We start from the raw sequence: 23,122 nt of genomic DNA on the forward strand, positions 1-23,122 counted from the left end.
ATTTTGTGTACTCAATGATCCGGTCTTAAAAATTTCTAAATAAAAACATATTGGGATCCTCTTCTATATTCTAATTTTAGGACAAAGCTCTCAGAAGGAATTTAGTTAGCAATGGTAACAGCAAACATTTATATAGTCTTCCTATGTGCCAGGCACTCTACTATGAACTCATATTAACCTTATTTAACTTTTACAACCTGATGAAGCAAGTACAAGAATGATTTGTTTTACAGATGAGAAAACTGGGGCAGAGTAAGTAAATTTGATCAAAGTCTCATAGCAAGTAAGCAGAGAGCTGAGATTTCAACTTAGCTTTGCTCTTAAGTTTGTGTTATTCTTTCCTACACAATATTGTTACTAACCAACAAATTTAGGTATCTACAATGAAATCGAGTGACTGTGAGGAGCTACAGTACTCTCCAAAACAGATTATGTTCACTATTATTTATTTATTGAACAAAAATGTGGACTCAGACATTCTGGAGAAATGGAAGGATAGAGGCTACAAATTGCAGCAGTCTGAACTTGCATTTGGTTTCTAAACAGTCTAAATTTTGCTTTTCTAAGCATACACAAACTAAGGCTAATAAATTTTGGGAGCCACTACTTTCTCATCAGAGTATGAGGAGGAGTTAGTTATTTGTGTAAAAATCTTTAGGTAGTCAACAGTGTATTTTAAATAGTGAGGTTACCAAAGCATATGGATATGCAGACACACTCCAAACCAAGACATTATATACACTCCAAACAAAAGTGATGAATTTAGAGAGATGAGAAGGGTTTCTACCACACTAGGAAGTATAGTAGGTAGAATTCTAAAATGGTGCCCATGATTGCTGCCCCCTTGATGTACATGTCCTGTATAAATCTCTCCCCCTTTGAGTGTGAGTAGGACCTGTAAATATGATGAAGATATCATATCTGTGATTGGTTACTTTACATAGCACAAGTAAAGAAATTTTGCAGGTGTAAAGTATCTACTTAGATGACTTGAGTTAATCAAAGGGAGATTACCCTGGGTGGGCTTGACCTAAGGAGAACCCTTAAACGTGGGTTTAAAGGTTAGAGACAAAGAAGTCAGAGAGATGTTCTGATCTTCTGTTTTGAAGAATGTAAACATCCATGTTGTGAATTGCCTGAAGAGGGCCTACAGGGTGGCCTCTGGGAACTGAGAGCAATTCTCGGCTGATAGCTGGTAAAAAAAAAAAAAACAAAACAACCAACAAATCAAATGGGAGCCTTAGTCCTACAAAAATGGTCAACAGAACTGGAAATTATTTAATCACGATAATCTTTAAAAGTTATCAAAGTCAAATAAATATTAACCCTGTGATTATTCAGAGAACTCATGATTTTATCAAATGGTCAATACGTGTTAAAGTTTTATAACCATTTAGCTCATTTTCCCTCTTATTGAACTTTTGTTATAACTTTTACATGAATAAGATCTCTTGAAACATTTCCCACAGACTGTTACATACCCATTTCATTTTTTCCCATTGATTTCTTGGATTTCCAAACATATGGGTTTATTTCTAGTGGAAACTGCTAAAAATTAACCAAGATATTTAGCATTTTGGTTTCCATATTAGTAAACGGAGGGCACAAAGCTTAAAAATGAGGTCATTTCCGGCTCTAGACTTCTAAAAGTTGCAGTCTCAGAAAAAATTTTGGCATTCATAAATATGACTCTAACTGTAATCCTATTTTCCTCCCATAGAATTTACTGAAAATACCCCAGATGGTTACTCATGAGTAAAGTATTCTGGTGTTTAACCAAATCCAATCAGAGGCAAGAGGCTGGATATATGAATGCAGACAAGATAGGGCAAACCTAAAAGTGGATTAAAAAAACTCCAGAAAGATGGGAATCCTCAGAGGCAAACAGAAGATTCCAATGCAGTGGGAAACAAAGAGTGTGTCAACTCAACACTAACTTATGATACTTATATTTTATTTTTTTGGAAGAACCCATCACACAGTTTCTCCAAGGATGCTAATTACTTGCCAGTAGTGAGATAAGTATATGACACAGAGAATCTACAATGCTTTTCCTATAAGAGAGACGTCAGGCTCTGCTTATTTGCCAACCTTTGTGTGTTTTCTTATTTATATTCACATGCAGTATAGTAGATTTCATCAACTTTGGGTTCATTCCCTAAGTTGGACTGAGCTGTTAAATCCAACCCTAGAGCCCTGGAGTTCTTGATATATGAGATTTTTCATTTCCCAAACCAATCTGAGTTGAGTTTTCTGTTAGCTGCACCTAAAAATAACTCATTTATTCCCATGATCGATCTTAACCTGAAAAAGAAGGATCTAACAAGCTCCAGGCCGATGCTCTGAGACACAGGGTCAAGTCATTCTTTCTGCTTTGTCCTACTCCTGACCATATACCTGGGTGCTGCTTTGGTTCTTTTCCCTGAAGTCCTGTTCTAGTTACCTATCCCATTCCCTTCCTATGAGTAGGGTCCTGCTATGCGCTCTGAGGATTTGAGTAGATGGGCTTCCCCAGGTGATCCCTGTTATCTTTATCTCCTCAACACACAATCAGTATCAACAAGGTTTGAGGAACCTCTTAACCACTCATAACACTATCATTAATAATAAATACAATTTATTAAGCTCTTTCTAAGTGCCAAGCATTGTGCTAAGTGATTTTGCATGGATTATGTCATTTAATTATCACCATATTCCTTAAGGTACCTCCCAGTCTAAATCAGGCATGGCAGTTCTGTCTCTTATGCCAGGGTCTGGTGCAAGTGACCCAATATTGGCCACTGAGGGGGTGTCTGTTGAGAGGTTCCTGGAGCCATAGAAAGAAACATAATTCCTCTTCTTCCCTTGGACATTGTTCTGTATAGATGTTGTACCTGGAACTGGTGAGAACACATCCATCATCAAATATGGCAGGGCAGAGAGAGGGAAGCAATTTGAGCCTTTGATGACATTTTGAGCTGCCAAATCCAACCCTAGAGCCCTGGAGTTCTTAATATATAAGATTTTTCATTTTATTAACCAATTTGAGTTTTCTGTTAGCTGCAGCTAAAAGTAACTCATTTAGGTATACAACAAAATTGACAAGTAGTATCCAAAGAGTCAGTAATAACAGGCCACTTTATCAAACTGATTAAATTCTGATACAGAAACAACTATTAATGGAGGATTTTTTTCTGTTTATAGGAATGCACCATGCTATTTATAACCACTTACAACACTAAGACCATCCTGCCTATAGAAGACAGTAGATTGTCAAACTAAAAGCATCCCAGGATTATGTTAGTTTATAAAGCACAATTGTTGCAGCTCTGTATATCAGAGCTGGAATTAATATTTCAACACTCTTCATCTCTGAACCAGTGCTCAGATCCAAAGGGCATATAGCATCTAGGAAGATTAGACAGAAATGTGGAAGGCAAACCCACGGAGCCAGGAGAAATAAAAAGCACTCTGGACAAAACTAGGAAAGACCCTTTTCATTATCTGGAGAATACACTGAGAAAGTTCCAGAGGTTCAAAGGTCCCTCCATAACGATGTCACTACAAGACAGTTTCCCGGAAGAAGGCTGGAAGTGACATTTAGCTTTCTAAATGAAAAACAAGGCAGGAGCTCTGCTGGTCTTGTCAGCTCTCTTGATATATAATGTACTAATTCAAGCGGTTCAATTCCTTGTTGACGATAATGATACAATACATGTATTGAGTACTTAAAAGCCACTGACGTTCTGTCTGCAGGGGGCAAATAAAAATATGATTTATCACCAAATACCAAATTAAAATAAGTGTCAGCTGCCAAAAGACCTGCAAAATTTAGTAGGCTAAAAACCAGGGAACTGACAAGTTTATAAAATTCTAAACTAATTTTCCTGAATGTTGAGAAGCATAAAAATTTGCTGTGCACATGATCCAAAATAAGCACCAGAAATAGTACTCGAAGTGTTCATAATTTTCTGTGAATTCAGAGGAATCGCATGCTGCCAGACACAAACAGATTAATGTATGGGAAATATTTTGTATGTTCAGTATACAATTTATACATTGCAGGCATTAAGCTGCCCTAAAAGCCATCCAGCATATCCCTGCTCCCAGCCCAAATGTAGGTCCTGGCTGGGTCAGAGATTCCTTCTGTGTGCTCCCATGGCTCCCAGGGGATTCTTTTTTTTTTTTTTTTTTTTTTTGAGACAGGGTCTCACTCTGTCCTCCAGGCTGGAGTGCAGTGGTGCCATCATGGCTCACTGCAGCCTCAACCTCCCTGGCTCAAACAATCCTCCCACCTCAGCCTCCTGAGTAGCTGGGACTACAGGTGTGTGCCCAATGGCCAATTTTTTTTTTTTTTTTTTGTAGAGATGGGGTCTACTTATGCTGCCCAGGCTCGGGGCATTCTATTAACAAGTTCTGGCCCCTAGTTGACTCTCTGTATATGTTTACTGAATGAACAGCTGAACAACTTTGTAAGTCAGACAGAATTTCTGGAAATGTTATAAACAAGTATACGGCAAAAATATCCACCTTGTTTAGACAGGGCATAGCCACGGCAAGAGCCATACAACCTCTGTGACCTCTTTTAAACAACTCTTACGACATTTCAAGGGTGGGAAGATTCATCTTTATTTCTAAAAACCCGCAGGTGAGAAAACTACCGTTGGCCTATTTGTCCCAATAATCACTAACCGCCACTCATCTCCAGTAATTCTGTTCATTTGCTTAGTCATTCAACAAACATTTATTCAGCATTTTCAATATACCTGGCACTATTCTAGGTTCCAAGAATACATCAGCGAAGAGAGAAGAGCCCTGTGTATATTCTGGTGAGGATATGGAGAGATAGGCAATAAATAATAAACATTAAAAATATTAGTGGTAAGTGCTATGCAGTTATTTAATTCAGGAGATGTGATATAAAATGGCTAGGGTAGTTACTGTAGTTTGGAAGGTCAGGAACAGCCTTTCTGAAAGTGTGACATTTGTGCTGATATCTGAGTGACCAAAAGGACCAACTCTGTTGCCCATAGGAAGAATGTTCCAACAAGAGCCAGTGCAAAGGCCCTAAGGTGGGAACAAGCTTAACTTGTTCAAGGAACAGGAAGACAGCTAGCACAGTGCTAAAATGAAGAGGGCAAGTGTTATGGGCTATGTGTCTCCTCAAGATTCATATGTTGAAAACTCCCAGGGCTTAAGAATGTGACTGCCTTTAGAGATGGGGTCTTTAGAGAGATAATCAGGTTAAAATGAGGTCATTAGGATGGGCCCTAATCCATTATGACTGGTGTCCTTATAAGAAGAGCAGACTAGGATAAAGAGACATAGATGAAAGGCCATGTGAAGACACAGATGGCCATCTGCAAGCCAGGCAGAGGCCTCAGAAGAAACCAACCCTTCCAATACCTTGATATCAGACTGCTAGCCTCCAGCATTGTGAGAAAATATATCTCTGTTATTTAAGATGTCCAGTCAGTGGTACTAGCAAACTAATATGGCATTTTACCAGATAAAGCTGGGGTTGCCAGATGGGGTTAGCTGAACTTGGTAAACTCACATAAAGAATTGGAATTTTAAGTATTATTGGAAGTCACTGGAGAGTCTGCAGGAAGGGAGTGATATAATTTAATTTACAAATTCTGGATAGCTGCTTTGTGGAAAATGGATTGGAAGGCACAAATGGAAACAGGGAACTTAGTTAAAAAGCAACTGCAGTAGTCCAGGTGAAAGAAATGGTGGTGAGCACAAGTGTGGTGACAGTGGAGACAAAGAAAGTGCTGAATTTGGAATGTGTTCTGGAGGGTGGACGGAAGTTGGTGGATTGGATGTGGGGGTGAAGGAAAGGAAGGGCCCAGGGTGACTTTTAGATTTTTGTCTTGAGCAATTGAGTGGATAGGTGTACTGATTTCTAATATGAAAAATTCCAGGGAGAGGAGCAAGGCTGGAGAGAAAAAATTGAAGAACTGTGTGGCCATGCTGAGTTTGAAATGACTTCTAGATATTCAGATGGAGAGATCAAGGGGAGTAGTCAGAACCAGAAATAAAAATTGGGAGTCAATGATACAAAAAGTTACTTAAATCTAAGAGATATCAGAAGAGCTAACTCAAACCATGATCTGCAGGAAGTGATGTGAGGAAACTTGCCTTGTCCATTAATATTAACAATACTATTCTAACAAAAAGACTCCAGGAGACATTGCTCATTCATTACTGTTGCGAAGTTTGGTAGCTGTTTGCAGCAATGGATGCAAAAATCCCCCTTTGGCAGGAAGAGCTACTTAACGTACATTCATTATGATTGCACCAATGCCATCTAGATCAAAGGTCTGGAAACAAATAAATGGATTGTAATGAACTTTCCAGAGGTAACAGGTAGTGAAGTCATCAAGTGCTACTTCTTGCCACTTGCTTGTACATTTTCTTGTTAAATTCAGTTTTGTAGATGCTATAAAACATAGCAGTAAAGCTGGGCACAGCAGCACATGTCTGAAGCCTCACTACTTGGGAGGCTGAGGTAGGGAGATCCTTTGAGGCCAGGAGTTTGAGGCTGCAGTGCACTATGTTCACACCTGTGAATAGCCACTGCACTCCAGCCTGGGCAACACAGTAATACTCTACCTCAAACAACAACAAAAAACAACCATACCAGTAGCATAAGATTTTATTATTTCAGAAATCAATTTTGAAATTATGATCACTTGAATTGGAGACAAGCTGAAGTGCATTAAGCAAATCAATAGTGTAGGCAAGGCTATATAGCAAGAACAACTTTCAAACACATTTCAGATCAGTCAGTCCAAAATACATTCACACTGTATAGCACCATAGGACTAAATGAAAGTTTGCTGTGCTAATTAAAACACATTCATATTCACTTATTCAAGTAGGTCCCCTAAATATCTGAACTGAGAAACACTTCATTAGTATATCCTCAATGATTGCTGCATAAGTAAGGCTGCATTTCTTTTAAAAATATTGTATTTGCTAATTTTTCACCAATTGTGGAGCTTTCTCAACAGCTGGTACAAGTTGGTGCTTTTTTGACTGTTCTACATTGCCCTGGGTTTGAGCATGATATGCAAGATGGTTTTTGGAACACTGGGATGATTTCTGGGGGGGAATTTTGCTGCTTTTTTTTTCCTTCCTAGTCCTTAGCTTTTTTGTGTGTTATTAAAGCCTTCATTAGAGATGGTTGTGAAAGGCCCTAGTCAGGATAAGCAGAGTGCATAGTAATTAATTCTGAGAAGCTGCCTTCTGATTCCAGGCTGAAGCATGGCAAATGATTTTGTAAATATTCACCCTTTGTCATATGTTCATACATTTGCTTCTCTGGGAACTTGTTTAAAATATGTTAGTGAAAAAACACCAGCTGAGTATTTGGATGCTTATAAATATTAAGTAAAGGCTCATTTCCAACCATAGTTGTACAAAATGGCTAGTTTCAAGAAATTGTCCTAGGTTTTGATAACTGTCCGTGTTCTAACATTGTGTTAAAAAATAGTGAATTTTTCTTCACTATTATCAAATCTGGGCATCCTCAGCTGGAAAAGACTGGAACAGTTCAATAGTATTTTCCTAATAGAAACATTCCGGTCAATATTCTACCAAGGAAAACTAATTATCATCTAGCTAATGAGTTTTGCCTTTCCTAAATTACTTTAAAAAATATGGTAAGCCATATTTTTCTTGCCATTATAGTTTTTTTCTCCTTTTAAAAAAGTTATTTTTTACTTCTAATTTATCACTAAATATTAACTAATTTTTAAGTAAAACACTCATTGGAGGAATAACCATTAGGAATATAACACAGAAGGTACTTCATATCTGGTTTTGAGTAATACTCAAAGTACGATAACCTCAACACCATCTAGATTCTCTTCCTATGAGGCAGAGTATAATGAAATTAGATTCTCATAAATGTCATTGCCCCCTATTTACTGTCTTTTTCCTTGAACCAAGGCAGAGCTGGCTAGGATCCATTGTCTCTCAAGCAGATTTATTATAGATCGGGTGCATTCCATTTCAGAACAGGAATGTGCGTGTTATGAAATGTACAAAGCCTACAGTTGAACAAAGCACACAATCTGTCGGCAAAAAACCACTATTAGTTTAATAGTGGGTATAGTTAGTAAAATTTTTCTGATGTATCTTAACTAAATTTAATATTACATAAGTTGATATTCAAATCTTGAAATAAGTCCCTAGTGAACACAGTTCTGTTTATGCTGTCAAAACTAAATGCATTTCAGTATTATGCAAATATATAAGTGAAGTATTTCTTATTGACGTTATATAGTTAGCTAGATTTTTCTTGTTGCTTCACTTCCTCCTGGATAGTACCACAGGAACTTTGAAAAGTAAATTAACTCTTTCAGGTCTTCAGGGCACAATGTAACATACTTTAGTGCTCAATGTCATTTAGAATCTGTGCAGTGAACTAAAGAGTATCTGATATGGTTTGGCTCTGTGTTCCCAACCAAATCTCATCTCAAATTGTAATCTCCATGTCCCACATATCAAAGGAGGGACCTGTTATCTCCAAGCATTGAGGGAGGGAGATGATTGGATCATGGGGGTGGTTTCCCCCATGCTTTTCTCGTGACAATGAGTGAGTTCTCACGAGATCTGATGGTTTTATAAGTGTTTAACAGTTCCTCCTTCACACACTCTCTCTCTTTCCTGTTACCTTGTGAAGAAGATACTTGCTTCTCCTTAGCCTTCTGCCATGATTTCAAATTGCCTGAGACCTCCCCAGTCATGCGGAACTGTGAATCAAATAAATCTCTTTCCTGTATAAATTACCCAGTCTTGGGTAGTATCTTTATAGCAGTGTGAAAATAGACTAATACAGTATCCTTATAAATACCCAGGGAGAAACTAAGAGACAGCTCTAAGAACAAAAAGAATGTGGGTAAATTTAGCAGTTAAAAGACACAAAAAACTAGGATTGCAACTATTTTTTTTTAAGTATGCCTGTTAAGTATACCTCTTAAGACTTAAAGGAAATATGCAAAAATGCAAAGAGCTGTGGTTGGTTGGTGGAAAATGGTTGATGTGACACTGGTGGAAGAAGTTAAGAGATACTTGGGACCCCAAAGCCTGAATATTTAAAACTTCATCTACTACCTACAATTCCAGTAACCATTGCTCATTCTGGTTCACAAGGCAGGGGGCACAGCTTGTCAGTGCGTACTTTCCATTACTCTAAACATCCAAATACTAACGTGACTCTAGATAGGGGAGACTGGACCACTGGAAGCTGTATTACCAGAGTCTTTTTTGCTTGGGTTATCCACCCCTGGTTCACCTGTGGTCTACTCCATCCAGGCTCTCACTGTTGGAGTCCCCATACTTCCCTGGGCTATTATTTTAGACTGAACTCAAAACAGCCCCAGACCAACTTTTTCTCCTACATGACCCATTTCTAGTCCATGCAAACACTTGCACATCCTTTGTTTACAAACTCTGGCAGTGCAGCTATGACCAACACAGTAGCACTTTCTTGGCTTCCTACCTAACCTGTTAGTCACCAGCTGCTAATCCTCTGTATCTCCCAGACACCTATCCTTGGTGTTTCCAAACTGCAAAAATATATTTAATCTCTCTGAGAGGTTTATTTAAAGCCCACTCTCCCTGGACTTGAAGTGAAAAAGGTAACATATCCCATCCCACAAATTTAATGTAGAGAAATTAGAAAGTATAGATAAGTCAAATAGAACCATTAAAAATCTTTGTAATCCCAACACCCATGCATAGATAACACTTACTGTTAATAATCTATCACACAAACTTCAACACATTCCTATTAAGTATTTTTATGAGAATTTTTTTTTTGCTCATACTGTTATAAAATTATACTATAAGCACAAACATAGTTAAATAGAACACAGGGTACTATTATAAACCAATTTAAAAATAAATTCATACTATTTAAATTGAGATTGCTTTAAATTAGATTTTCTGAAAAAAATTATCTTCTGAAAACAGTCTTTTGTTGTTAGGTAACTGCAAATAAAATAAGTAAAGCTCCTTGTATTGAATTTTAGAGTACTTCAAGACCTAACCCAAAGCAGAGATACAGACTTTTATGGTGGTAATATAATTTGAGAACTTTATAAAACATTTAAATATTTAAAGAAATACTCAAGGATCAATTAGGATAGGTGTTAAAATTTGAGGATAAAAAGCTACATCACAATTCACAGTGTTTCTTCTCTAAATATGCATGAATCAACCAGAGATAGAACAAAATAAAAATATTTAGCTGCCAAAAAGAAGTTGTTCTGAGACATCAGTACAGGTTTTCTTCTGTGATGATATCAAGTTGGTCTTGCAGCAAATGTTGAGAAAGTAACTTTACAACTGCAAAATAATCATTGGATGTTGCACAGAGAGAGGTCCCTCTGTTCTCTGTGGATATACAGAGCAAACCCAGAATGCACCTGGTCAACTCGAGCCCTCATTATCTTGAAGACACCTGATATTCCATAAGACTAGATGAGGCTGCCAGCTCCTTGTCCACACTGACTACATGCCATGTACCCCATTTTATAACTAAAAAGGATTTAAAATTCATGAAGCTTGTTGAAAGCTCAACTGTCACATTCTACTCATTCCAAAGTGTATGGGAAAAAGAGCAGAACAGACATTTCAACTGAAGCCATTATTGTGCTTGAATAGCCATATTCCATTAAATTGCTAATAAACCTACTAGACGGTGTTGATCACATCAGCCATACAGTTGCATTCCTTTCCTTTATACCAACTTGCCCAGTTTCATTCTATGCAGTATTACTCTTTCTGTGCCCTTTATTCCAAGGTTGCCCAGAATTCAAAGCACTTATTCAGTAAGTTTGTAATCCAGTTTAGTATGCTATTAACAGAATTCTTTAGAGGAGATCATGGAAAAAGAAACTCAAACTCATTTTTGGGTCAATGACCAACCTTAAGGGAAACACGTATTAAACCAGTTTAAAGAAAAAGGTCAGGATCCATGAGGTATTAAGGAAAAAAGGGAAGAAAAAACATTCATTTCCACAATTTTCCAACATTCCTTAAAAATAAAAACAAGCCCAAGCATGGAATGGCAAGGCCCTGGTGCCCCTGTACTAATGGTGGTGGACAATACTGCTATTCATAGGAAGTGAGAAAGCAAAGGTTTTTCCTCAACACCAGGGAAGTTTTGGCTTCCCTTACCTTCATTTATTCTGGGGTTCAAATTGGAACCTTATAAATCTTAAGTTTGCCTCTCAAAGCAAACAATAATGTACAATGGATTAAATGCTTTAAAGTTTGCTTTTTAATAGCATAACTAATTAACTGCCTCTATTGTAAATGGCTTATTAAGCCACTCCTATTAGGGTGTTAACTACTGAAAATATGTAAAGCTGAATAGATACCGTATGGAATTAGGCATTTAAAAATAACTAGTGCACTATTTACACTACCTGCCTGATGAGTAGTTTATCCCCCATTTAGATATTAACTGAAAATATGTAATGGAAAACAAATAAAGGAAACAGATGTCTTAACTTTAAAATTCTTTCATCAAACAGCAGTTATTTTCTTATAATTTTTAAATTCTATATCCATCTTAGAGCTTTAGAAGAAAGTCTAGGTCTCTCCAAATTCAGGGTACTAAACGCTTGCCTCCATCCAGGCAGTTTTCCAGTGAGCAGAGTTGGAGAAGCTTTTCTTTTCACAGGGTAACTTGTTTGGAATAAGCTGTCTGTGTATCCAGAATGGTCTTTTTTTTTTTAGCAAAATCAAGCTGGAGAAAAGTGAAATTCACTCCCTGGATTACCTTATGATTATGAAAATATTTGTGTCTATTTTTTGAGTTCCCAAGATTAGGCAAAATAAAGTGTTTTTTTTTTTTTCCTGCAGCTTCCCTGCTGAAATACCTTAGTGAGAATGCATAAAAACCAACTCTAAATGATGCACAAAGCCACCGAGAGTAAGTGTTAAAGCAACAATAATGTGATTCAACACAAATAAGTAATAGCCCCAATACAAAAAGCTGCAAAATTACAGTAATTTTACAATCCATCTGAAGTAGCAAAACACATTGTTACTTTACCAAATATTAAGTGATCACCTAATGTATGTCAAAGCTACATGCAGATATATGTGTGGTAAATTTCTGGACTGGAGAATTAAATGAAAAGAAACTAGCACAGGATATTTAGTTCACAGAATCATGAAATGTAAAACTCACAAGAGACATTTGTGGTCATACAGCTCAGGTGACCAACTCCCAGTAGGTTGGCATGACTCTCCCCTGCCACAGAGGCAGAAGCAGGATTAGAACCCAAGTCCCCTTGTTTACGGTTTAACAAGATTCCTGATAAACTAAAAATGGTTTTGATATGAAAAGCCAATGTTAAGACTATGAATAGAAAGCTGTTTCTACTTTTAAAGTTTTAGAATCATTAATACATTATTAATTATATATACATATATATTTAAATTGTCTTCTAGACTCCAAGCATAAATTAACAGATTTCATTTAAAGTTTTCATATTGGCTGGGATTTCATCATTTCATGGCATCAAATGAGGAGCCATCTGCCATCTAACCAAACCCAAAGGCCACAGAATAAATGTGGCCTGGCACTGAAAAACAAGAGTGAAGACCATGGTACTCTGATATTAGGCAGGCAGGTACATTTTTAGACGTTTCCATACAATTCAAAGTTAATGGTCTAGGTGTTTTTCAATTGGTATTGATGAGGAAAATGTAAAAATCAAAGTGATTTACAATGTCTGCCAGATTTTCCTTCACAGATTCTTTTAGGAAGCAAAACATCTTTCTCTTTCCTTCTCCCCCTCATCCCCCCACCCCCATACAAGTAGACACACACACACATTCAGTAAAATTTTTGAGTAATCCATTTGATGACTGAAGATTTGGCTTCCCAACTAAATTGATAACCTCTCTTCTTCTTCATTAATATTTGAAGGCTGCCCACCTAAAGAATTGGAAAATATATAGTACAAACTGTAACAAAATTTTTGTATTTGATCTCTAATTTCTGACAGCTGAACACTTGGCAAATGTATATATAACGTGAGCATAAAACATGTCATATGAATAAAGTTTTCAGCATGAATATTTTATAAGTGACTTATTGGACTTCATTCCTTATTTCAATCATATTTTGCATATTGCCATTTTATGAAGGACATAAGTAAAAGACTATTCTGTTCAACACAAATGGTATCAAATTTGGAAAACCAAAAAGGGCTAAAAGAAGTTAATGAGGGTGAATGGAATCACCCCTATTAAAGGTAAAGTGATAGAGCAGGTGTAAGCTATTATGAGGAGGCCATTTTGTATCTCCTCCTCCTCATAGTTTCTCCCTAAATATGCCAAAACGAAAATCTTAGCTTTGGTTATGTGCTTAGCATGTCTTCATTAATAAAAATCTCTAGTAATGTAATGGAAAGAGGATTGTGCTCTGCTGTAGAAGGCAGAAAAAGTAATAGTAAAGGAGTACCCTCTCTATGGAACCTGGGATTTTTAATTTTTATTTTTATTGTTTTTTTGAGACAGGGTCTTGCTTTGCCACCCAGGCTGGAGTGCAATGGCACAATCACAGCACACTGCAGCCTTGACCTCTGGGATTCAAGAGATCTTCCCACCTCAGCCTCCCTAGTAGCTGGGACCATAAGCATGTGCCACCACATCCAGCTAATTTTTGTATTTTTTGTAGAGACAGGTTTTCACCATGTTGCCCAGGCTGGTCTAGAATTCCTGAGCTCAAGTGATCTATCCACCTCGGCCTCCCAATGTGCTGGGATTATAGGGATGAGCCACCATGGCTGGCCCTCTGGGATTCTTTTTAACAAGTGGAAATCCTAGCAAACGAAATGCCCTATTCTATTCTTGCAAATGAAGTAAGCATCCAGACAGCTGTTTTGTGACATCACTAAGCAAGTATAACAGGAAAAGGCAGAGAAGACACTGTACATTTATCTGAAACTCTACAGAAAACTTATAGTGACAGGTAGAGATAATGAGGCACAGCTAAAATTCTAAATTAAAAATATTTCAAAAGGCAAATTTCAAAAAGCTTTTTACCTTTACCATTTCTAAATTTCCTAATGTGCTTTAAATGCAAAAATATGTCTTAGGCCAGGCCCACAGATACTAAAATAGCACTTAATCTATTGCTCCATTACAAGTGAATACATTATTTCCATTATGGTTTATCTGTAGCAAATTTTGTTTTTAACCTCAAGGGAACCGTATAATATTAAGGGATGTAAGTGGCCTTATAGAGAATTATCCAGTCCCTTGTTTTCACAGATGAACAAACTGAGGCCCAACTGAACCTCTTGTTAAAAGCCACCAGCTAGTTATATTTCAGAGCTGTGTCTTCTGTCTCCCAGGGCAGGGAGCAGTGCTCTTTCCATCACATCCACAGCATCGGCCTCCCACTAAATGGTTGCAATAGCTATAGTCAATAATGGTGCCCAACTATGCTCTCTTCCTGGATGACCTAATATTTAAGCTTCATAACAAGTCCATGAATTACGTAATATTTGAACCACTATTCTACAGAAAATTTATAGTGACAGGTAGAGATAATGAGGCACAGCTAAAATTCTAAATTAAAAATATTTCCAAAGGCAAATTTCAAAAAGCTTTTTACCTTTACCATTTCTACAGAAAGGAAACTGAGGCACGGAACACTTACATAACTTGTGAAAGAGTCAGCCTGCAGAGCCACACCACACACCACTCTTCACCATTATACTACTGTTCACTGTTCTCTTCTTTTCCAAGGCATTTGTTGACCTTATATTCACTGTACTCTGAACTGAACTTATCTATTTCCCAAACCTGCTGGCATCCTTACTTTCCAACTCAGTTAATGTCATCACTGTCCTCTTTAATCACCAACCTTGGAATCTTAGGTCATCTTTGACTCCTTCTGAGTTCCTCACTCTTTTCCACGTTTCTACCACTGGAAAGGATCTTGAACCCATGTACACTGCAATTTCCTAACAAAAGGCCTCATTCCCTGTTGCCTGAATGATTGCAAAGCCTCCTAACTGGTCTCCTTCTAACAGCTGTCCCTTCTCAAATTCATCTCACACACTGGAGCCAGAGTAATTCTGCCAAAACAACAGAGAGCTCATTGGTTTAAAAACCCAAGCTTACCTAACATTGTCTGTTACATTTTTCTTTTAAGTGTATGAAGTTTTCTTTTTCTTTCTCAATCTTCTCCTTGAAGCCTTATACAATTTTGTGAAGTTGGTATTATTCTTCCTATTTAACAGATGATGAACCAGGCCGTATGACATTAAGTAATGTTTAGTAGATAATTTAAAAACTTATAAATTCTGTTATGTAAAAATGTAACTTCATTTTCTTATAAGTAGATAATCCGGGTAAACACAGTCAAGTCCAGTAATTTCTCAATTATTTGAAATTCCAACTCAGTTAAATTCAGGTCCATCCCCTCCTTTCCACTGCTTTCTTCCTAGGTGACATTCACAATGAGCATTTACCCAGCATTTTGTGCTGGCATCTTCCAGGATGTACAAGCATCCCAACATAGTCTCAGATTCTTGGTCCCTGGCACTGGCAGAGCTGAAATGGTCATATTCCCACTGGCCTCTGGTTACATGATCCATGCTGCCTTCTGTAGTCACATATTATTTGTGATAACAAACAAGGTAAGGATTTGTAAGGATCAGAGGTAAGGCAGGCATAACGTAGAAAACTGACTAGCACAAGGTCTCTTATTTACAATTCTGAAAGCCCAAAGTTCTGAAAACCAAGGGTATTCTTTTTTAATTTAGTGCCTGAACTTATTTGGTAGTAAAACCTGATTTGATATGAAAGTTTTAGACTTTATATCATCTAGAATGAACATTCCTAGGTTTTGCTGCACATATATTAATGTGGTTGATTAAAGGGTGCTATCTTAGACTTATGTGTGTGTGTTATGAAATATGGTTGACATACTCCGTTTACTTTCAAAATATGAAAAATTATAAATTTTAAAACACATCTGGCACTCTGGGTTTCAGAGAAGAAACTATAGACCTGAAAGATATATTCTAGCCGGGCGTGGTGGCTCACACCTGTAATCCCAGCACTTTGGGAGGCCAAGACAGGTGGATTACCTGAGGTCAGGAGTTCAGGACCAGCCTGGCCAATATGGTGAAACCTCATCTCTACTAAAAAATACAAAAATTAGCCGGGCGTGGTGGTGGGCGCCTGTAATCCCAGCTACTCGGGTGAGACAGGAGAACTGCTTGAACCTGGGAGGTGGAGGTTGCAGTGAGCCGAGATCACTGCACTCCAGCCTGTGTGACAAGAGCAAAACTCCATCCAAAAAAAAAAAAAAAGATATATTCTTTGGATACAGAATTCTAGGTTGGCAAGTGTTTTTTTGTTTTTTGTTTTTTTGCACTTACAAAGATTGTCATTACAATGTTTTCAGCCTGCATTGTTTCTTTTATTTCAATAGTTTTGGGGGAGCAGGTGATTTTTGGTTATATGGATAAGTTCTTCAGTGGTTATTTCTGAGATTTTGGTGCACCTGTCACCGAGAAGTATACACGTTACCCAATGTGTAGTCTTTTATCCTTCACCCCCCTCCCAACCTTCCCCCAGAGTCCCCAAGTCCATTATATCATTCTTATGCCTTTACGCCTGCATTGTTTCTAATGGGAATTCCGCTGTCATCCTAGTCTTTGTTCCTTTATATACAATGAGTATTTTTCCTCTGACTGCTTTTCAGATTATCTCTTCACTACTGGTTTTCAGTTACAAGCATACCTTGTTTTATTGCACTTTGCTTTATTGTGATTTGCAGATACTGTTTTTTTTTTTACAAATTGAAGGTTTGTAGCAAACCCGCATCAAGCAAGTCTATTGATGCCATTCTTCCAACAGCATGTGCTTGCTTATATCTCTGTGTCACATTTTTGTTAATTCCTGCAGTATTTCAAACTTACTACGTCCACATAAGACAGCAAACTTAATCAATAAATGTGTGTGTGTTCTGACTACTCCATTGACTGGTTTGTTTCCGTCACTCCCTCTCCTGGGGGTCTACCTATTCCTGGAGACATAGCAATATTGAAATTAGGCCAATTAATATCCTACCATGGCCTCCAAGTGTTCAAGTGAAAGGAGGAATTGTACATTTCTCACTTTAAATCAGAAGCTAGAAATTATGAAGCTTAGTGAGGAAGGTATGTTAAAAGCTGAGACAGGCCAAAAGCTAGGCCTCTCATGCCAGTTAGCCAAGTTGTGATTGTAAAGGAAGTTGAGTTGTTGAAGGAAATTAAAAGTGCCACTCTAGTGAACACACGACTAATAAGAAAGTAAAACAGCCTTATTGATGATATGGAGAAAGTTTTAGTGGTCTGGATGGAAGATCAAACCAGCCCCAATATTCTCTTAAGCCAAAGCCTAATCCAGAGCAAGGCCCCAACTCTCTTAAATTCTACGAGATCTGAGAAGAGGTGAGGTGAGGAAGCTGCAGAAGTTTAAAGGTAGCAGAGGCTGGAAGTTTAAAGGTAGCAGAGGCTGGCTTATGAGGAAAGAAGCCATCTTTATAACATAAAAGTACAAGGTGAAGCGATAAGTGCTGATGTAGAAGCTGCAAGAAGTTATTCAGAAGATCTATTACAGCTAACACACAGCATTGTATGTTATGAATATGGTTGATGAAGATGGTTATACTAAACAAAAGTTTTCAAATTAAATCCAGTAGCCTTATATTGGAAGAAAATGTCATCTAGGACTTCTCTAGCTGTTAAGGAGAAGTTAATCCTGGCTTCAAAGCTTCAAAACACAGGCTGACTCTCTTGTTAGAGGTTAATGGAGCTGGTTACCTTAAATTAAAGCCAATGCTCATTTACCATTCTGAAAATCCTTGGGCTCTTAAGAATAATGCTAAATTGACTCTGACTGTGCTCTACAAATGGAACAACAAAACTTGCATAACAGCACATCTGTTTACAGCATGGTTTGCTGAATATTTTAAGCCCACTGTTGAGACCTACTGCTCAGAAAAAAAGATTGCTTTCAAAATATTACTGCTCATTGACAATGCACCTGGTCACCCAAGAGTTCTGATAGAAATGCTCAAGGGGATTAATGCTTTTTTTACACCTGCTGACACAAGATTCATTCTGCCACCCATAAATCAAGGAGTAATTTCAACTTTCAAGTCTTATTATTGAAGAAATACATTTCATAGGGCTATTGCTGCCAAAACTGTGATTCCTCTGATGAATCTGGGCAAAATAAGTGGGAAACCTTTTGGAAAGGATTAATCATTCTAGATGTCATTAAGAACATTTGTGATTCATGGGAGGAGGTCAAAGTATCTACATTAACAGAAGTTTGGAAGAACCTGATTCCAACTTTGAATGGTTTAAGACTTCAGTAGACAAAGTAACTGCAGATGTGGTAGAAATAGCAAGAGAACTAGAATTAGAAGTGCAGCCTGAAGATATGACTGAATTGCTGCAATCTCATGATAAAACTTGAATGGATGAGGAGTTGCTTCTTATGGATGGGCAAAGAAAGTGGTTTCTCAAGATGGAAACTGCTCCTGGTGAAGATGCTGTGAAACATTGTTGAAATGATAATAAAATATTTAGAATAGTCCAAAAACTTGGTTGATTGACAGAGCAATGGTAGTTTGAGAGGACTACAATCTTGAAAGAAGATCTACTGTGAGTAAAATGCTATCAAACAGCATTGCTTCTTACAGAGAAATGTTTCATGAAAGGAAGAGTCAATCAACACAGCAAACTTCACTGTTGTCTTATTTTTTAAAATTGCCACAGTCACCTCAACCTTCAACAACCACAACCCTGATAGGTCGGCAGCCATCGACATTGAGACGAGACCCTCCCCAAGAAAAAGATTATGACTTGCTAAAGGCTCAGGTGATTGTCAGCATTTTTTAGCCATAAAATATTCTTTAACTGAGATACATATATATTTTTAAGACATGATGCCATTCCACAATTAATAGACTACATTAAAATGTAAACATAACTTTTATATGGACTGGGAAGCAAAAAAAATTGTGACTCCCTTTATTGTGGTATTTGCTTTTATTGTAATAATCTGAATGGAACCTGTACTATCTCTGAGGTATTCCTGTATTTGATCATGATGTGTAAAGTTTCTGGTATTAAGTAGTGATTTCCCCTCACTGCTAAGGCAAGGCTCTTCTGAGGCTCTACTCAAAGCCCTGTGTATTGTGAGGTCTCTCCTTTCTGGCTTTTAGGAATATAATCTCATTTCTGCGTGAGTTCTGGGAATTGTCTGGTTTATTTTCTGCTGGTTCTTTCTCTAGCTTTGGGTAGTTCCTCTTATGCGTGCACAGACAAATACATACCTACCCAAAGACTCAAGTAACAATCCTGCATATCTCTGGAATGCTGTATTTGAGCAGCCCCTCATCTCCAGTACTCTGCCCTGCAAATTCTACCATTTTAGTTCTCCCAAACTGATTTTTTGTCCCCTCAATTTGATAAGACCAGTAGGTTCTGTTCTGCATCCCCTCCTCCACCTCTGTGGCCTGAAAACTGCCTCCAGACAATAAGCTGGGAAAATTGTAATCTCAATTCATTTGTTTCCCTTCCCTCAGGGATCAGTCCTACACTTCCTGTGTGCACTGTCTGAAAAGCTGTTTCATATAGTTGGTCCAGTTTTCTAATTACTTACAGCAAAAGAAAAATTCCTGTAGCAGTTAATCTTTCATGATGGAAGTCAAAGCTTCAAGACTATACACCTAAACATTGTTACTTTTCTTTCCTGACCACCTCTGTGACAACATTATATAATGTCCCATAACTCAAATGAAAATTTTTTCTCATTTAAACAATGAGGAACAACATTTCTCCCCTTAACAAATGAACAGAAGGGAGGTCTAGAAATTGCTTCTTTAAGAACAAATTTAGTGATTCTTGATGATCTTGGTGACATTGGCATGAAAGGGAGCAGACAGTGAGTGTGATAAAACTTCTTTAGGATTTATTTACATGTTACTTAAAATGCTAAGCTCTGATACAACCTTAACTCTAATGGAACTTGGAAGCTAATTAAGGAGACCTTTTATAACTGTATAGCAGTCTGTCTCTGGACTGTATTTGGAAGATGAGTCTGAATCAAAGTGGTTAATAAGCAAATTTAACCATGACATTACAATTAACAGAGTCTCAGAAGTACAAGTAATAATCACTGCTGATTCTTTTCCTCTTCTCCTCTGCAATATCTATTTAAGCTTTTGAGTAAGACAGACTTGGTCTGCCAGAGTACCTTTGCTGAAGAACTCAAAGCCACTGGCACAGAGTAAAGCAGCTGGAAACACAGAACCATAGCTATAGCCAGGGAGCTTTTCTAACTTGAATCAAAAACAGATTCAGAATGGCTTGGAGAAAAACAATCCACTGAAGGCTGGTGAAGAAGACCAGGATCATCTTAGAAATAAATAAAGCATTAGTAAAATACATACTAAATTATAGCTTACTGACTGTATTCTTTAACAGTTTGCTTTTAAGAAAGCAACCTCATTTTAACACATATTTCAAAAGAAGAAAAGTTGGAAAATGTGAAATCTTTTCCTCAAATAATTTTGCCCACTGGAAAACCCATAAGTTTGGACCACAAGGCCTTAATCAAGGCATAACCTCTTATCTGATGCAAGTTTACTCTGCAGTTAGAGCGGCCTGGCAGGAAGATGGTATAGGAGAGCAGCTGAGCTCATGGATATTGGAACAAATGAGGCCTCATTTTGAATATAGGATCTACCACTTACTTACTAGTTGTGTGACCTTGGGCTATTACTCCATGCCTTAGTGCATTTGCATTGTTATAAAGGAATACCTGAAGCTGGGTAATTTATAAAGAAAAGATGTGTATTTGGCTCAAGGTTCCACAGGTTGCACAAGAAGAATGGTGCCAGCATATCCATCTGGGAAGGGCTTCAAATCACTTCTACTCATGGTGGAAGCCAATGGGAGCAGGTATAAGCAGAGATCACATGGTGAGAGAGATGAAGGAGGAGAGAGAGGGAAGGAAGATGCCAGGCTCTTTTTAACAAGCAGCTCTTGCAGGAACTAATAGAGTGAGAACTCACCCATTACCAGGAGGATGGCACCAAGCATGAGGGATCTACCCCCATGACACAAACACTTCCCACTAGGCCCACCTCTTAACATTGGGAATAAAATTTCAACATGATATCCAAAGTATGTAATCCTTTCCCTGGTTCCCCAAATCTCATGTCCTTTTCATATTGCAAAATGCAATCATTCTATCCCAACAGTCACCTAAAATTTTAGCTTGTTCCAGCATCAACTCAGAAGTCCAAAGTCCAAAGTCTCATCTGATACTCAAGGGAAGTTACTTACAGCTGGGAGCCTGTACCATCAAAGACAAATTATTTATTTCCAAGATACAATGTTTGTACAGGCACTGGGTTAACAGTCCGATTCCAAAAGGGAGGAATTGGACAAAAGAATGGGGTAACAAGCCCCATGCAAGTCCAAAACTCAGTAGGGCAGACGTTAAACCTTAAAGCTCCAAACAATCCTTGACTCTATGTCCCACATCCAGAGCACACCGGTGCAAGGGGTGGGCTCCTAAGGCCTTAGGCAGTGCTGTCCCCACAGCTTTGCTGGGCAGCACACATGGTTGATCTCATGAGTTGGAGTCCAATGCCTGCAGCTTTTCCAAGCTGAGGGTACATGCTGCTGGTGGGTCTATAATTCTGGGATCTTGAGGATGGCAGCCCCATTCCCACAGCTTCATTAAGCAATACCCCAGTGGGGACTCTGTGTAGGGGGCTTTTACCCTACATTTCCCTGCCACACTGCCCTAGTAGAGGTTCTCTGTGGGGGCTCCACCCTGCAGCAAGCTTCTGCCTGGGCACTCAAGCTTTCTGATATATCCTCTGAAATCTAGGTGGAAGCTGCCAAGCCTCCATCACCCTTGCATTCTGCATGCCTGAAGACTTAACACCATATGGAAATTACCAAGGCTTATTAAGGCTTATACCCTCCAGACAGACAATTGGAGAAATAACTGGCCGGAGCTAAAAGCAGCAGGGACTGGGGGGTAGTGTCCTGAGGTGGTATAGGGCAGTGGTGCCCTGGGCCATTCCCCTGAAACCACTCTGACCTCCTAGGTCTCTGGGTCTGTGATGGGAAAGGTGGTCTTGAAGGTTTCTGAAACACCTTCAGGACCTTTTTCCCATTGTCTTGACTATTAGCACCTGGCTCCCTTTTATCCATGTTAATCTCTCTAGCAAGCAATAGATCAGCCACATCCTTGGATTTCATCTAAAAGTGCTTTTTCCTTCCTACTACATAGGCAGGCTGAGAACTTTCCAAAATTTTCTGCTCTGTTTCCCTTTTAAATATAAATTCCAACTTAAGCTCATTCCTTTGCTCCCATATCTGATTATAGGCTGTTAGAAGCAGCTACACCACTTCTTGAGTGCTTTGCTGCTTAGAAATTTCTTCTACCAGATAACCTTCATCATCATCACTATTAAATTCAGCCTTCCACAAATCCCTAGGACATGGACACAATGCTGCCGAGATATTTGTTAAGGCATAACAAAAGTGATCTTTGCTCCAGTTCCCACTAAGTTCCTCACTTTCATTTGAGACCTTGTCAGCTGGGCTTCACTATCCTTATTTCTATCAGGAGTCTGGTCACAACCAATTAGCCAGTCTCTAAGAAGTTCCAAACTTTCCCTTGTCTTTTTGTCTTTTGAGCCCTCCAAACTCTTCCAAACTCTGTCCATTATCCAGTTCTAAGGCTGCTTCCCCATTTTCAGGTATTTTTATTGCAATGCTCCACTCCTCAGTACCAATTTTCTGTCTATGATGCTATAAAGGATACTGGAGGCTGGGTAATTTATAAAGAAAAAAGGTTTATTTGGCTCACAGTTCTGCAGGCTGTACAAGAAGCGTTGCACCAGCATCTACTTCTGACAAGGGCCTCAGGCTGCTTCCACTCATGGCAGAAGGGAAAGAGGAGTCATTGTGTGCAGACATCACATGGTGAGAGAGAGGAAGCAACGGAACTTGGGGAGGTGCCAAGTTCTTTTTAACAATCAGTTCCAGGGGAACTAATAGAGTGAGCA

General features: G+C 38.3%; 1 protein-coding gene across 8 annotated transcripts in view; it reads right to left on the reverse strand.

Annotated features, from left to right (window-relative positions):
- Positions 1-23,122, reverse strand: part of DDAH1 (dimethylarginine dimethylaminohydrolase 1) — a 259,716-nt gene that overhangs the window by 46,416 nt on the left and 190,178 nt on the right. The window contains exon 1 of one of the 8 annotated variants that reach the window (XM_005270710.3): positions 14,681-15,040. The exons of the other annotated variants lie outside the window; for them this stretch is intronic. The gene's annotated coding sequence lies outside the window, so the exon portion shown is untranslated. Of the gene's footprint in view, positions 1-14,680; positions 15,041-23,122 lie in introns of those variants that run through there. 8 annotated transcript variants of the gene reach the window in all.

This window comes from Homo sapiens, chromosome 1, assembly GCF_000001405.40.
Source record: "Homo sapiens chromosome 1, GRCh38.p14 Primary Assembly".
NCBI classification, from domain to species: Eukaryota; Metazoa; Chordata; class Mammalia; order Primates; family Hominidae; genus Homo; species Homo sapiens.